At 47.5% G+C, this 17,293-nt stretch overlaps 1 protein-coding gene across 6 annotated transcripts in view, besides 2 other annotated features; it reads left to right on the forward strand.

The window, feature by feature from the left end:
• Positions 9,405-10,231: an enhancer, noted in NCBI's record as "H3K27ac-H3K4me1 hESC enhancer chr19:53029540-53030366 (GRCh37/hg19 assembly coordinates)". NCBI's record gives its function as "activates a minimal SCP1, AML or CMV promoter by ChIP-STARR-seq in naive H9 embryonic stem cells {active_cell/tissue: H9 hESC(naive)}" and the evidence as "EXISTENCE:reporter gene assay evidence [ECO:0000049][PMID:30033119]".
• Positions 10,232-11,059: an enhancer, noted in NCBI's record as "H3K27ac-H3K4me1 hESC enhancer chr19:53030367-53031194 (GRCh37/hg19 assembly coordinates)". NCBI's record gives its function as "activates a minimal SCP1, AML or CMV promoter by ChIP-STARR-seq in naive H9 embryonic stem cells {active_cell/tissue: H9 hESC(naive)}" and the evidence as "EXISTENCE:reporter gene assay evidence [ECO:0000049][PMID:30033119]".
• The window catches only part of ZNF808 (zinc finger protein 808), a 41,086-nt gene continuing 34,578 nt past the window's right edge, over positions 10,786-17,293 (forward strand). For 3 of the 6 annotated variants that reach the window (XR_002958314.2, NM_001039886.4, XM_005258909.5), the window contains exons 1-2: positions 10,786-10,829; positions 16,026-16,127. The gene's annotated coding sequence lies outside the window, so the exon portion shown is untranslated. Of the gene's footprint in view, positions 11,028-16,025; positions 16,128-17,293 lie in introns of all 6 variants that reach the window. The other 3 variants (NM_001321425.2, NM_001363550.2, NM_001321424.2) reach the window with 2 other exon arrangements.

Raw genomic sequence — 17,293 nt, forward strand, 5'->3', positions numbered from 1 at the left:
GCCTGTTTAGTGGTCTCTTCACACGGACGAGTGTGACACTGTATGTGTGGTTGTGTTCCAGGGAGGGGGTGTGTGGATTCTGAGCAATAAACAGCATTTTTAACATTCATGATTGACTTCTAAAGACTGTTGGTACGTGAGGAAGAAACCTGGAAGAGGAAGAGGAAAGCAAAGGAGTCAGGAATGGCTCTTCCTCAGGTGAGATGATATTCTCGGTGGATTGTTCTGTCTCCTTCCTCTCAGAAACCCTGGGCCTTGGAGTTGGGAATCTTCTCTGGGTCTCAAGTGTCCTGCCTGACAGGTTTGCTCACACCCATGTCTTCCTTCAGTCCCTCTCATCTCACTTAGATTCCATCTCTTGTAACCCAGTGACATGAATTTGGGAAGAGGCTGCACTGGGCATGGTCCTGGGAAGGGCTCACACCCAGACATGGATGGAGACAGGGTGAGGGTCCTGTGGTGTCAGTGCTGTTGGGCAGCGGGGATTGTTCAGGGGCCACATCTGGATGCTCTGTCAGCTTTCTGTGGACCAGGATTAGAGCAGCTGCCAATGGGAGTCGCGTATGAATGTGCACAAAGTACGTGTAAATTCTAGAAAACGAAACCAAAAACAGAAAATCTTTTTTCCCCCTGATTTTATACTACATTTTTAGGTAATGGATTGAGTTCGTGTTTCTGACTCCAAAAATCGTACTAATTAGAATGGAAAGTTCATACAGACATGAATGATAGAAGGTGTTTTATTCCATCATTAGTTTAAGAATAGGAAATCAACCTGAATAATAGCAGGAGATTCATTCAACCACTCTTAACACATTAAGTTCATGGAGACTGGGGTTACTGTGGAGAGGCTTGTGAAACAGGTGTTTTTGGTAAAAATGGTTACAATTTATTTTTTGAGATGGAGTCAGCCTCTGCCACCCAAGCTGGAGTGCAGTGACATGATCTCAGTTTACTGCAACCTCCGTCTCCTGGGTTCAAGTGATTCTCCTGCCTCAGCCTCCCAAGTAGCTGGGGTTATAGGCATGTTCCACCACGGCCATCTAATTTTTTGTATTTTTAGTAGAGATGGGGTTTCATCATGTTGGCCAGGGTGGCCTCAAACTCCTCACCTCAGGTTATCCGCCCACCTCAGGCTCCCAGAGTGTTGGGATTACAGACACTAGCCACTGTGCTGGGTCCTTTTGAGTTTCTGATTAGCGTTGCCAAAGGAGGCACTCAGATATGCATGTATGTCAGGGAGCAGAGCGGTGACTTTGAATAGAAGGTGAGTCTGGTTTCCTAAGCAGTTCCTAGCTTGATTTTACCTTTTGCTTAGTGATTTGGGGCTCCATATTCATTTTCCTTTCACACAGCCCAACCCTCACACCACCTGTGGTCTATCTTGCCTGTTCTGTGTGATTACTGTTGTGCCTTTGTCATCCACTGTCTGGATCCTAGTGAGAACAAGGCCCCAAGGGGAGGGCAGAGCCAAAACATGGGGCTGTGCTGGGCTCGCCCCGTCTGAGTGGAGCTCAACCCTGGCTTCACATTAGAGTGCAGAGCATTTTGCAAATAGAGCTTTTGTGCTGCTTTAGCAGGGATTCTTATTCTGACGGGATGGAACCCACCCTCAGTAATACCTGCAGTGGCCCAGGTGCTTGTCATCTGTGTGCAGCATTGAGCATCGAAGCTCTGTATCCTCCATTTCTGAGTGCTGAGCTCAGCCTGTGATCCAGAGAGGTGAGGGGTTGTCCTCTGGATGCGGTTTGATTAGGGATGGGTCTGTGCCCTGAAGGGGAGATCAGTCCAGCCCAGCTCCCCACTGCTGCCTAGTGTGTGGGGGCTTTTCTAGGAGGGGAGTGAGATCTGAAGACCAGGGTCAGATATACACTTGTAGGTCTTCCTGTGGTAGTTTCTTATCTCTGCATGATCTCTGGTGCAGTGGGCAGCAGAGGACCGTCTTTCTACAGGGTGAGGTCTCCCCTGTCTGTTTTTGCCCCAGGAAGGGAGTGAGTCATTTCTAACATGAAAGCTCGTCTTTTTTTTTTTTTTTTTGTGGGGAAAAGAAAGATCAGAATGTTACTGTGTCTTTGTAGAAAAGGGAGACATAAGAAACTCCATTTTGATCTGTTCTAGGAAAAATTCTTCTGCTTTGAGATGCTATTAATCTGTAACTTTAGCCCCAACCCTGTGCTCACAGAAACATGTGCTGTATTGAATCAAGGTTTAATGGATTTAGGGCTGTGCAGGGTGTGCCTTGTTAACAATATGTTTGCAGGCAGTATGCTTGGTAAAAGTCATGCCATTCTCCATTCTCAGTTAACCAGGGACACAATGCACTGCGGAAAGCCGCAGGGACCTCTGCCCTAGAAAGCCTGGGTATTGTCCAAGTTTCCCCCCACTGAGACAGCCTGAGATATGTCCTTGTGGGAATGGAAAGACCTTACATCCCCGCGCCTGACACCTGTAAAGGGCCTGTGCTGAGGAGGAGTAGTGAAAGAGGGAGGCCTCTTTGCAGTTGAGATAAAAGGAAGGCTTCTGTCTCCTGCTCATCCCTGGGAATGGAATGCCTCGGTGTAAAGCCGACCATTGGTTCTATTCTGCGATAGGAGAAACCTGCCCTGTGGCTGGAGGTGAGATATTCTGGCAGCAATACTGCTCTGTGACTCTTTGCTACACTGAAATGTTTGTGTAAAGTGAAACATAAATCTGGCCTACATGCACATCCAGTGAAGGGCGCCAGCCCCTCCACACCTGTGAGTATTTCTCATCAGGTGGGATGAGAGACTGAGAAAAGAAATAAGACACAGAGACAAAGTATAGAGAAAGAACAGTGGGCCCAGGGGACCGGCGCTCAGCATACGGAGGACCCACATCGGCGCCAGCCTCTGAGTTACCTCAGTATTTATTGATCATTATTTTTACTATCTTAGCGAGGGGAGTGTAGCAGGGCAACAGGTAGGGAGAAGGTCAGCAGGGAAACAAGTGAGCAAAAGAATCTGTATCATGAATAAGTTCAAGGAAAGGTACTGTGCCTGGATGTGCACATAGGCTAGATTTACGTTTCTCTTCACCCAAACATCTCAATGTAGCAGAGTAACAGAGCAGTATTGCCTCCAGCATATCTTACCTCCACCTACCGGGTGGTTTTCTCCTGTCTCAGAATGGAACCAATGGGAATGGTCAGCTTTACAGGGAGACATTCCATTCCCAGGGATGAGCAGGAGACAGAAGCCTTCCTCTTATCTCGACTGCAAAGAGGCCTCCCTCTTTTACTACTCCTCCTCAGCACAGACCGTTTACTGGTGTCCGGGTGGGGGATGGTAAGGTCTTTCCTTTCCCATGAGGCCATATCTCAGGTTGTCTCAGTGGGTCCCCCTTGGACACTGTCCAAGGTATTGTCCACCTTGCACAATACCCAGGCTTTCTTGAGCAGAGCTCCCTGCTGCTTTCTGCAGTGCATTGTGTCCCTGGTTAATTGAGATTGGAGAATGGCGATGACTTTTACCAAGCATACTGCCTGCAAACATATGTTAACAAGGCACATCCTGGCCGAGCATGGTGACTCAAACCTGTAATCCCAGCTCTTTGGGAGGCTGAGGCAGGCAGATCACAATGTCAGGAGTTTGAGACCAGTCTGACCAACATGGTGAAACCCCGTTTCTACTAAAATTACAAAAATTAGCTGGGCGTGGTGGCGGGCGCCTGTAATTCCAGCGACTCGTGAGTCTGAGGCAGGAGAATCGCTTGAACCTGGGTGGCAGAGGTTGCAGTGAGCCGAGATCATGCCACTGCACTAAGCCTCCATAACAAAATGATACTCCCCCTCGGAAAAAAAACAAAACAAAAAACAAAACAAGGCACATCCTGCACAGCCCTAAATCCATTAAATGTTGATTCATTACAGCACATGTTTCTGTAGCACAGGGTTGGGGCTATAGTTTACAGGTTAACAGCATCTGAAAGCAGAAACAATTTTCCTTAGTACAGATCAAAATGGAGTTTCTTACGTCTTCCTTTTCTACATAGACACAGTAACAATCTGATCTCTCTTTCTTTTCCCCACAATCCAGGCATGGTACATTTCCTTAAATTTATTAATGATACAGATTCCTTTGCTTATATGTTTCCCTGCTGACATTCTCCTCACCATCACCCTGTTGCCCTGCCGCACTCCCCTTGCGAAAATAGTAAAAACAGTGATCAATAAATACCGAGGGAACTCAGAGATCAGCGCCAGTGCAGGTCCTCGCATGCTAAGTGTGCTGGTCCCCTGGGCCCACTGTTTTTTCTCTATAGTTCGTCTCTCTGTCTTATTTCTTTTCTCAGTCTCTCATCTCCACCTGATGACAAATATCCGCAGGTGTGGAGGGGCAGGCCCCCTTCATTTTTCACATACAGGATTGATTTCTAAAGACTCGTGTTACATGAGGAAGCAGCTCAGAATGTTGTAAGAGAGCGAGTTAGAGAAACACCATACTTAGAGACGAATTCAGGCGTCCTTTTTTAGCTGGTGACCAAGAGATGGCTTCACGCTCAAAATTCTCTCAGCCCTGAAGAAGGGGCTAGATTTTCTTTTATACCTTGGTCTAAGAAGGGGAGGGGATAGCCTAGCCGAAGCAATTTTACAGAAACAGAATAGGCAAAAAGTAAAAAATTAATGGTTACAGAGATAGTTACAGAAAAACAAACAGTTCCAGGCACAGGGGCTTGAACTATCACTAAGAGATAAATGCAGCGGCTTTTAGGTACCTTCCACCGAGCACATTCCCAGGGGCTGCTTGTACAGCCTGCCTGAATATCTTATCAGCAGGTGCATTCCTGGATGTGCTTGGAGTCAGCTTGCACTATTTATTCCCTTAAGGCGGATAAAGGGCACTGCAAGTGAAGAAGCTAAAATGGAGTCTGTCCGGCTCTCTCTCTAGGAGAGTCACTTAGGTTAAAACGAGGTAGGGTAGCCGGGCGCTGTGGCTCATGCCTATAATCCCAGCACTTTGGGAGGCCGAGGCGGGCGGATCACGAGGTCAGGAGATCGAGTCCATCCTGGCTAGCATGGTGAAACCCCGTCTGTACTAAATATATATAAAAAATTAGCTGGGCGTGGTGGTGGGCGCTTGTTGTCCCAGCTACTCGGGAGGCTGAGGCAGGAGAATGGCGTGAACCCAGGAGACGGAGCTTGCAGTGAGCGGAGATCGGGCCACTGCACTCCAGCCTGGGCGACAGAGAGAGACTCCGTCTCAAAAACAAACAAAGAAACAAACAAACAAACAAGGTAGGGTATCACAAGAAGAGGAAAGAAAAGGAGCCAGGGCTGGCTCTTCCTCAGGTGAAGTGATACTTCTCGGTGGATTAATCTGTCTCTTTCCTTTTTGAAATGCCAGGTATTGTAGTAGCCAGTCTTTCCTGAGTCTGAAGCGTCCTGCCTGACAGGCTCACTCGCACTCACCCATGCCTTTTCTCAGTTCCTCTCATCTGCTCTGAGATTCCATCTCCTGTGACCCAGTGACAAGAGCTTCTTAAGAAGCTCCACTGGGCATGGTCCTGGGAGGGGCTCACACCCAGACATGGATGGACACGGGGTGTGGGCCCCTTGGTGTCAGTGCTGCTGGACAGCCTGGATGGTTCAGGGGCCACATCTGGATGTCAGCTCTTTGTGGACCAGATCAGAGAAACAACATATGAAATACATGTTAATGTGCACAGATATCTGGTAAATTCTGAAAAAGGAGACCAATAAAGGGAGATAGTTTGTATCTGACTTGGTAATGCATTTGAAATCACTTTGGGGGCGGGGCCTGGTTAGACGGTGGGGGCCGGGCCTGGGGTGGGGCAAGAGGGAGGAGGCTGCTTGGAGGTCGCTCTGGACAGCGGGACGGGGCGGGGCCAGAGGTTTATCCTCGTTTGGGGGCGGGACCTGAGATGGGGTGTTGTTCTTAAGGGCGGGGCCTGGCTGCGATGGGTCGGGGGCTCTCTCCTCAGCTGGGCCCATGATGTGACCTGCTGTCATCCTCTTGACCTCCAGGACTGGATCCCCGGGGTTCTGATTGGTGGATTGTTTCTGGTGTGCCGTGATATTACCCCTAATATCACAGGGATGCTTCCTGCCCTTTTTAAGTTAGCATTTCAAACAATCGAAGGTAAAACAACATATTGTAGTGGGCCAACTGTACTGAACGCTGAATCGTTTTTTCTCTGAAGTTGAAAACGGTTTTAATGTAAAGCGCCTTTTTTGAGCAGGTAGAGTCGCGCATCCTGCAGGCGGGGCGAGCTCCCCTCAGGCTGGGGCAGGACGGGGGACAGGGGCAGGTACCTCGGTAAAGGGGTGGAGTGGGGCGCTGCTTACAAAGGGGACTGACAATTAGAATGGCTTAGTAAACTAAGCAAGGTCCTGGGTTGTTTGAGTGGATAATGGAAATAGAAAGGTGACATGGAAAACTGCCTATTATACACCTATTATAAAGGTGGAGGAAATTTTCATATTTCATGGAAATAAAGCCAGAACTCGGAGCGGTGGATCACATCTGTCATCCCAGCACTTTCAGAGGCCGAGGTGGGAGGATTGCTTGAACCCAGGAGTGTGTGATCAGCCAGGGCATAATAGTGAGACCTCGTCTCTACTAAAAATAAAAAAAAAATCAGCCAGATGTGGTGGTGCACACCTGTGTTCTCAGCTGCTCGGGGCGCTGAGATGAAAACATCACTTGAGGCCGGGCGCAGTGGCTCACGCCTGTAATCCCAGCACTTTGGGAGGCTGAGACGGGCAGATCACCTGAGGTCGGGAGTTCGAGACCAGCCTTACCAACAAGGAGAAACTCCGTCTCTACTAAAAACACAAAAAAATTAGCTGAGCATGGTGGCCCATGCTTGCAATCCCACCTACTCGGGAGGCTGAGGCAGGAGAATCGCTCGAACCCGGGAGGCGGAGGTTTTGGTGAGCCGAGATCCCGCCACTGCACTCAAGCCTGGGCGACAGAGCGAGACTCCGTCTCAAAAAAAAAAAAAAAAAAAAAAAAAAAAAAAAAAAAAAGAAAACATCACTTGAGCCAGGGAGTTGGACGCTGCACTGAGCCCTGATCTTGCCAGCACACTCCAACTTGGATGACAGAGCTAGACCCCGTCTCAAACAAGCAAGCAAATAAGTGAGAGGCGTAATTCCTCCTTCAAAAATAAAGGAAGAGATTTTCTTTCATGTAGTCTCTTTTCTTAGGATATTTATTTAGAAAATGTGTAAATGAATTTTCTCTGTCTTCTGAAGCGGTATGTTATTTGAGACAGAGTTTCGCGCTTGTAGCCCACGCTGGAGTGGAATGGCGTGATCTCCGTTCACTGCAGCCTCCATCTCCCGGGTTCAAGCCATTCTCCTGCCTCTGCCTCCCGAGTAGCTGGGATTGCACGCATGTGCCGCCACGCCCGGTTAATTTCGTATTTTTAGTAGAGAAGGGTTTTTCCGTGTTGGTCAGACTGGTCTCAAACTCCTGACCTCAGGCGATCCGCCCGCCTCTGCCTCCCAAAGTGCTGGGATTACAGGTGTGAGCCGCTGCACTCGACCAGAAGTGGAATTTTTTTAGAAAAGAACTAAACTGTTTTTTAGCTTAATGACCCAGGGATGTATTTCCGAAGGACTTGGGAGCTCTCTTTGAAAGGCAACCAACAACAGAGATAGCACTTGTGTCTCAGTAGGAAATTAAATTATTCAAACATCAAGTGATTCCAATTTAAAGCAATGGATATTTAAATAATTCTGAGCCTTGAGAGGAATGTGGTCATGCAACCAGAGTCCAGTGGAATGCAGGCGCAACTTCTAAGAGTTTTCCTGTAAATAATTTGGAAAACTGGCCATGCACAGTGGCTCACGCCTGTCATCTCAGCACTTTGGGAGACTGAGGCTGGCAGATCACGAGGTCAGGAGACAGAGATCATACTGGCCAACATGGTGAAACCCCGTCCCTAATAAAAATACAAAAATTAGCTGGGCATGTTGGTGCATGCCTCTAGTACCGTCTATTCTGGAGGCTGAGCCATGAGCATAGGGAGTCGGAGGTTGCAGTGAGCCGAGATTGCGCCACTGTACTCCATCCTGGCGACAGAGCGATTCTCCATCTCAAAATAAATACATAAATAGCAATAAAAATAAAAAAAATAATTAGGAAGACTAAGCAGCCCCAGCGATATGACCTCCTCAGAGCATTGTGCCTTCTTACGCAGTGATAAAGTAACCTTCCTTGAAGTGTATCAATCCATCACCAATCAACTTGCTGCAACCTATGCACTGGTCTTGAATGGAAAACGTGGTGATTCTGCTAAAGCATCTCTGTCTTTCCCTGTGTGTGAAACCTTAACGTCTCTACTTTGGAACGCTGATCCCATTTATTTGGAGTTGATGTTTCCAGGTGGCTTTCTTCAAGCTTTGTGTTCACATTAACTCTGTACTTAATCATATATTTTAAATTTTATTATTTACTGCTGACATCAATTTCTGTCGTATGGTAGGCGCCTGACCAGAGAGGGCACCTGTCGCCATGTTGTAAAACTCAAACTTGCCAAAAAGACATGGGTTAGGGTTTCTTCCCCTCCCTCGGGATGAAGCTAGTTAGCTGACACAGATGGTCACCTCCATTACCAAGTAGAGCCAGGATGAACTATGTGCGACCAAGGGTGTTGTCAAGTCCTCTTCCCTGAGGACTGATTAGTGTTTATCTTGAAAATATGTCCTTAATGGGTTGTATAGAACAGTGAAGTTTCTTTCTCTCTTTTCAACCTCTTAGCTGTTTGCCTCTATTTCCCATCACATTCTGGTCAAGGCTTATTGATTTATTTATTTAGAGACGGAATCTCTTCTGTCGCCCAGGCTAGAGTGCAATGGTGCGATCTCGGCTCATTGCAAGCTCCGCCTTCTGGGTTCACGCCATTCTTCTGCCTCAGCCTCTCCGAGTAGCTGGGACTACAGGCGCTGGGCACCACGCCCGGCTGATTTTTTTTTTTTGTTTTTTTTGAGACCGAGTCTTGCTCTGTCACCCAGGCTGGAGTGCAGTGGTGCTATCTTGGCTCACTGCCAGCTCCGCCTCCTGGGTTCACGCCATTCTCCTGCCTCAGCCTCCCCAGCAGCTGGGACACAGGTGCACGCCACCACACCTGGCTAATTTTTTTGTATTTTTAGTAGAGACGGGGTTTCACCATGTTAGCCAGGATGACCTCGATCTCCTGACCTCGTGATCCGCCTGCTTCAGCCTCCCAAAGTGCTGGGATTACAAGCGTGAGCCCCCATGCCCGGTCCTAAGGTTTATTTATTAACAAAATGGTTTTTATTTCTTTCTCTGTTATCGTCGTGGAGATGATTTCTCATTTGGGATAATATTTTTTAGTTTTCAATTATATTTTGTCAACATTTAAAAAGCAAAGTAAAGAATATTTCTTGGGCCAGGCATGTTGGCTGACGCATGTAATCCCAGCATTTTGGGAGGCTGACACAGGCAAATAACTTAAAGTGAGGAGTTCGATACCGGCCAGGTCACCGTAGTGATACCCCGTCTCTATGAAAAATACAAAAATTAACCGGGCATCGTGGCACGCGCCTGTAATGCCAGCTGCTCCCGAGGCTGAGGCAGGAGAATCGCTTGAACCCAGGAGGCAGAGGCTGCATTGAGTTGAGATCTCGCCACTGCACTCCAGCCTGGGCAACAGAAATACTGTGTCTCAATAATAGTAATAATAATAATAATAATAATAAAGTAATAGATCTCTTCCACAAATGTGCTGGGACAACTAACTGGATATCCACATGGAAAAGAGTAATGTTGGATCCCTATGTCACACCATCAAAAATTTTATTTAAAAAAGTTTTTTTTTTTTTTTTAAAAAGGGAAAAGGCCCGGGCGCGGTGGCTCACGCCTGTAATCCCAGCACTTTGGGAGGCCGACGTGGGCGGATCACCTGAGGTCGGGAGTTCAGCCTGGCTAACATGGTGAAACCCTGTCTCTACTAAATATACAAAATTAACTGGGCATGGTGGCGCATGCCTGTAGTCCCAGCTACTCGGGAGGCTGAGGCCGGAGTATCGCTTGAAACCAGGAGGCGGAAGTTCTAGTGAGCTGGGATCACTCCACGGCACTCCAGCCTGGGCGACGGAGTGAGACTCTGTCTCCAAAAAAAAAAAAAGGGAAAGAGAGAGAGAGAGACTAGGAAGGGAGACCTGCCGCAGTGGGTGTTACTTTGTCGCCCAGGCTGGCTTGGGACCCCAGGCTCAGCAATTCTCTCCGTTGCTTCCTGAGTAGCTGGGACCTGAGGCTCCCGCCCCCGCGCCTCTGCTGTGTTTAAGCAGCAGGTGGTGACCTCACTCCTTCCTGGCCTAAGCACTCCGTCCCGCACCCCTGGCGGTGGCTTTAAGGAAGTCTCTGAAGCTGAGCTCAGGGTGGACTCTCCCTCCCTAGTGAATGGAGATAGAAAGGGAGAGGACATCTATTCTGTTCCGTGGGCCGTCACCATGACATCGTACATGCCGCCCAGGCAGGGCTTTGCATTTCACATTCTAGTTTGCATCCCGGTTCCAGACAATTCCAGGGCTTTGGAATCATGCCTCAGACTTTCTGGCGCTCTCGCCTCCACAACCTAAAAACAGAGACGCTAGGAGAGAGGCTGAAAGACGCGCAAGTCCCGCCCCGGCCCCGCCCCGGCCCCGCCCTCTGCCGGTTCTAAAGGGCAAGGTCTCAGCGCCTCGCGCCCCGCCGCTACCTCGCCCAGGCCCCGCCCACCTCCTCCCACCTCCCGCCCAGGCCTGGCTTCCGTCCTGCGCGCGGAGATTAACGCAAACCCGGAAGCGGATCGGGTGGAGTGAAGGTCACGTCGCCATGGTGAGTTTTGCTCTGTGTTGCATTAAGTCTCCGCTTCCCAGGTCCCCGCCGCTTCTGTCCCTGGGACGTGGGGTCCCCACAGACCTGGAAATTCTCGCCCGTCTTCCTTCGCCCAGAGCAAATTGAGACAGCCCAGTGAGAGGCCGGGTGTCGCTTCCTTTCGGGTTTAAAGTCGTCTGGAGGCTGGTCCCGTCCCGGGTCTGTCTGCTATAGGGCAATGTATACACTTTCTATTGCGTAGTTTTTCTGCTCAAAACCTTCTTCTGACTCTTCCCTCCTCGCGCTATTTAAAGTCTTCACCCACGAGGTGGATTCTTGCCCGGGGCGCACCTCCCAGCCACCCCTCGTCGGCCCCTGGAGCGTCGCGCCGCAGCCCCAGTCCCAGGGAGGCCGCGTCCTCTGCCTGGTCCTGGGATCTTGCAGACCCCATCCTTCTCCCAAGGCGCCGTCCCCCCTCCTCCCACCTCCCTACTCGTGCCAGAGCCTGCGGCTCCCCAGGTCTCTCCTCCGCAGTCACCGCTTCCATTGAACCCACACTGGGAAGGACGCAGGGCCCTGTCCTGTGACATGGGGTCTTCTTGCCTGCCGAGCTCCAGCCCTTGGAAAACGCGCTCCTCCGGGATGCAGGCGTCTTACTCCAAACCCTCCTGCGATTGTGTGGGCCGAAGGGATCAGGAGACAGACAGCAGTAGAAAACCTGAGACAGAGAAAGAATAAGAAAGGCCCATAACAGATGGCAAAATAGAGGATTGGTGAGGGATATGCCAAGATATGGTGAAAGTGGAAAAAGAAAGCAACAAAATACCTAGAAAAGCAGGTGGAGAAAAGCAACTGGAGAAATGTAGAGAAAAGCTAGATGTACACAGAGATGAAGGACGGCAAGGTAGGGAGAGTGGCAGCAAAGAGGGAGGCTCATCAGAGTGAGGGAGAGAGGGAGGGATTTGGAGCCAGGGCAGACAGAGCAGAGTGGTGCTGGTGTCAAGGAGAACCGAGGGAGAAACACAGCAGGGAGGACACCTGGGGATCTGGGGTGACACAGAGTGGGGACAGGGGAGTATATCAGGGAAGAGAGAATTTAACAGGGAGAGCAGAGGAGGCGCAGAGATGGGTGAAGAGGCAGAAATAGATGGAGATTGAGGACGATTGAAAGATTGGGGAGAAGGAGCAATAAGAGGTTAAATAAGTTGCGAGGATGGAGCAGAAGAGATGGAAGAGAAGGAATAGAGGGAAGAAGGGGGATAAACAGCAGAAGAGAAGAGGGGTACAAAATGAAGAGCAGAATCCCAGGGAGAAAGAAAAGAAAACAAGAGCTAGAGAGAGAAGGGGGAGAATGAGAGATATGTACAGAATTAGGGAGGGAAGCGCAGTAATGAAGAAAGGGGGGCTAGGCACAGTGGCTCACGCCTGTAGTCTCCACACTTTAGGAGACTGAAGCAAGAGAATTGCTTGAGTCTAGGAGTTCGAGACCAGCCTGGGCAACATAGTGAGACCCCTATCTCTGCCAAAAAAAAAAAAAAGGAAATAACGGGGCATAATCGTGTGCACCTGTACTCCCAGCTGCTCTGGAGGTGGAGGTAGGAGGATGACTTGAGCTCAGGAGGTCCAGGCTGCAGTGAACTGAGATCATGCCACTACACTGCAGCCTGGTCAACAGAGCGAGATCTTGTCTCAAAAGAAAAAATGGGGCGAGAGACTGGGTTTAGATCAGTGGATGAGTTCATTGGATATGATTAGTTGTGACATGTTGACTTCCCTGTATATAATCTAATAACTAAAAACTTGTTTAAATTATACAGATTGAGAATTTTAAAATTGGTGTCTATAAAACATGTACATTCTATAAATCTTGGCATCAGAGGTTATGTTCCACTTGGAATCCCTATTCAACCAGAGGGAAGTGACTTATTCAGTTGTGAATCACTGTCTTCCCTTTTCCTAGGATTGGGAGGATGTGGGGTAGAGAAGTGGGAAAAAAGTCGCTGTCTGTTATTACATAATACTTTTAATTTAATTAATTAAATGATATTTTGAGTCAGGGTCTGGCTGTATCACACAGGCTGGAGTGCAGTGGCGTGATCCTCTAACTGTAGCCTCTACCTCTTGGACTCAAGTGATCCTCCTACCTCAGCCTTCTGAGTAGCTGGGACCAGAGGCATGAGCCACCAAGCCCAGCTAGTTTACATATATATATATATATATATTTTTTTTTTTTGTAGAAACGTGGTTTCACTATGTTTCCCAGGCTGTTCTCAAAACCCTGGGGTCAAAGGGTCCTCCTGCCTTGGCCTCCCAAATTACTGGGATTACAGGTGGGATTACAGGGATGGCCCACCGCGTCTGGCCTACATAGCCCCCCCCTTTTTTTTGAGAGGGAGTTTTGTTCTTTTTGCCCAGGCTAGCGTGCGATGGCATGATCTCAGCTCACCACAACCTCCGCTCCCTGGCTTCAAACAATTCTACTGCCTCACTCTCCAGAGTAGTTGGGAGTACAGGCATGCACCACCATGCCTGGCTAATTTTGTGTTTTTAGTAGAGACGAGGTTTCTTCATGTTGGTCCAGGCTGGTCTTTAACTCCCTACCTCAAGTGACCCGCTGCCTCGGCCTCCCAAAGTGCTGGGATTCCTGGCGTGAGCCACCACTCTCAACCCATAGTAGTTTTTAAAAGGGACATCAAGGCATGGTGGCTCACGCCTGTAATCCCAGCACGTTGGGAGACAGAGGTGGGTGGATCATGAGGTCAGGAGTTCAAGACCAGCCTGGCTGACACAGTGAAACTCAATCTCTACTAAAAAATACAAAAATTAGCCAGGCATGGTGGCAGATGCCTGTAATCCCAGCTACTCAGGAGGCTGAGGCAGGAGAATTACTTGAACCCGGGAAGCAGAGGTTGCAGTGAGCCGAGATTGCATCACTGCATGCCAGGCTGGGCAACGGAGCTAGACTCCATCTGACAAAAAAAAAGAGAGAAAGAAAAAGTAAGGAACATCAAAGTTGGGCCTGGTGGCTCATTCCTGTAATCCCAGCACTTTGGGAGCAAATCACTGAAGGCCAGGAGCTCGAGACCAACCTGGCCTACATGGTGAAACCCCGTCTCTACCAAAAATACAAAAATTAGCTGGCCATGTAGACATACGCCTCTAATTTCACCTACTCCGGAGGCTGAGGCAGGAGAATTACTTGGACCCGGCTGGGAGGCAGAGGTTGCAGTGAGCCATGATCACACTACTGCACTCCAGCCTGGGTGACAGAGTGAGACTCCGTCTCCCCGCCCCCCAAAAAAAGAAAAATTAGCCAAGGGTGGTGGCATGCGTCTGTAGTCCCATCTACTCAGGAGGCTGAAGCAGGAGAATCTCTTTAGGCAGGAGAATCATGCCACTACACTGCAAGCTGAGTGACAGAGTGTGACTTGGTCTCAAAAAAACAAAAAAAGAAATAGCAATCAGCTCTTTAATGTCTCCCTTTATATAAGCAGTAGTCCTGGCCATGTTCGGTGGCTCACACTTGTAATTCCAGCACTTTGGAAGGCTGATGTGGGCGAATCACCTGAGGTCAGGGGTTCGAGACCAGCCTGACCAATATAGAGAAACCCGGTCTCTATAAAACTACAAAATTAGTGTGTAGGTGTGGTGGCGCGTGGCTGTAATCTCAGCTACTCGGGAGGCTGAGGCAGGAGAATTGCTTGAACCTGGGAGGCAAAGGTTGTGGTGAGCCAAGATCGCGCCATTGCACTCCAGCCTGGGCAGCAAGAGGGAAACTCCATCTCAATAAATAAATAAATTAATTAATTAATTAATAATAAAAATAAAAGCAGACGTATTCACGTGTAGTCAACACGCATGACCAAATTCTCTCACAGGCACCATCTGCAGGAACATCCTATTGGACAATAAGAACTCTGAACATCGCTTTTGGCCAATATAAACATTCAGACCAGGAAGTCTGCATCATATTTTTGATGTTTTTATTGTGCAATTTGTTTTATACAATGTTTTCTGTGATCTCAGTTTATAAATTTTCCCAGTACACATTCTATGTTTTATATTTTACACACAGTAACTAGATAACTAAGGGCAATGAATATATATAAAATTGCTGTATTGCCTGGTGTTATGTAACTGTACTTGTGACATTGTAATTGCACCCTCTGACACTGTTAGTCAGTTCTTATTCCTTTTAATGCTGTGTATTTACTTGAACTCATACATCAGAAGGTAGTGATCTTAACATGTATTTCAGTCTTATAGTGTGTGCTGGTGGTAAGTAGAAGTTGTGGCTTTTTTCTTGAGAGAGAATTGTTTAGAATTCTGCAGGCTGTATAAATGTACTTATTATTTGCTTGCTGGTTTTATCATGGGTTAGAATAGTTTACTGATTAATATTTAAGATTTCACATATGGCTTTTCAGTATATGATATGTAATGGAACTGACACACTGCACTTGTTAATTTCAATAAGTGCCTGTTCTGCGTGGATTTAGGTAATTTTATGACAGGTATTCAGAAAAAGGTTGTATTAACATTTTTTTTTTTTTGAGATGGAATCTCGCTCTGTCACTCAGGCTGGAGTGCAGTGGCACAATCTTGGCTCATTGCAATCTCTGCCTCCCAGGTTCAAGTGATTCTTGTGCCTCTGCCTCCTGAGTAGCTGGGACTACAGGTGACCGCCACCACGCCTGGCTGATTTTTGGAATCTTTTCTTATCTTCTCTGTGCTACGATTATTTGATAATACAGAATTTCAATTGATTTTGGTTACCCTTACATAAGCTTCTGGTGGATTATTTACCAATATAATATATTGTGTGGTCTTTTAGGATTTATTTGTGTACAGTAGATATTGTGTAAATATGAAGGATCTATACTTTTCATTGATGTGACAGTGATATGTTTTTTGCAAACTGTGATACATTTTAGGGTCACAGTGGAAAAATACTCCTTACTTTAGGCTTACACATGTTTGTGCCCTGTCAGCGTTTTGTCATATTGGAAATAGGCTTCCATAGAAATGATTTGAAGTACACGTAAAGTATTTATTAAGTATTTATTAAAGAATCTTACTCCTTTTGTGTTCCTAAACTTTGAAGATCATGTTTGGGAAGTTCAAAATAAGTATTGTTTTTTGTGTCATATTTACACATTTCAGTATGTTTTACCTTCTGGACTTAATTGGAAACGTATTGGTGTTTATATTTTGTAGATATCTCTTCCAAATGCTTGATGAAAAAGGTGGAAGGGTCACTTGACCCAGGGAGTTGAAGGCTGCAGTGAGCCCTGTTTTTGCCACCACACTCCAGCCTGGGTGAGTGAGCTACACCCTATCTCAAACAAACAAGCCAATAAATGAGAGGTATAATTCCTCCTTTGAAATTAAAGAAGGAGATTTTCTTTCCTTTCATCTCTTTTCTTAGGACATTTATTAGAAAATTTGCAAGTGCATTTTCTGTTTTCTGAGGTAGTATGTTTTCTTTCTTTTCTTTTGTTTAATTTTCTTTTATTTCCTTTTCTGTTGTTTTCTTTTCTTTCCTTTCCAACGGAGACACAGTTTCGCTCTTGTTGCCCAGGCTGGAGTTAAATGGTGCGATCTCGGCTCACTGCAATTTCCATCTCCCAGGTACATGAGATTCTACTGCTTCAACTTCCAGAGTAGCTGGGACTACAGGCACCCGCTATAATGCCTGGCTAATTTTTATAGTTTTGTAGAGACGGGGTTTCACCATGTTGGCCAGGCTGGTCTTGAACTTCTGATATCAGATGATTCTCCAGCCTTGGCCTTCCAAAGTACTGGGATTACAGGTGTGAGCCACTGCGCCCGGCCCAGGGATGTATTTCTGAAGAACTTGGGAGCTCCTTGAAAGGCAAACAACAGCCACGCGCAGTGGCTCACGCCTGTAATCCCAGCACTTTGGGAGGCCAAGGCGGGTCAATCCCGAGGTCAGGAGTTCGACACCGCCTGACAAACATGTTGAAACCCTGTCTCTACTAAAAATACGAAGAAATTAGCCGGGCATGGTGGCACATGCCTGTAGTCCCAGCTACTCAGGAAAATTGTTTGAACCTGAGAGGCAGAGGTTGCAGTGAGCCAAGATTGTGCCACTGCACTGTAGCCTGGGTGACAAAGTGAGACTCCGTCTCCAAAAAAAAAAAAAAAAAAAAAAAAGGCAAGCAACAAGATAGATTGTACCTGTGTCTCAGTAGGAAATTAAGTAATTCAAACATCAAATGATTCCAATTTAAAGCTATGGACATTTAAATAATTCTGAGCCTTGAGAGGAATGTGGTCATGCAACCAGAGTCTAGTGGAATGCAGGTGCAACTTCTAGGAGTTTTCCTGGCTGACTGTCATGGCTCAAGCCTGTAATCACAACACTTTGGGAGGCCGAGGCTTCCGGATCACTTGAGGTCAGGATTTCAAAACCAGCTTGGCTAGCGTGGTGAAACCCTGTCTCTACTAAAAATAGAGAGAAA

This window comes from Homo sapiens, chromosome 19 (assembly GCF_000001405.40).
Source record: "Homo sapiens chromosome 19, GRCh38.p14 Primary Assembly".
In the NCBI taxonomy this organism is placed as follows: Eukaryota; Metazoa; Chordata; class Mammalia; order Primates; family Hominidae; genus Homo; species Homo sapiens.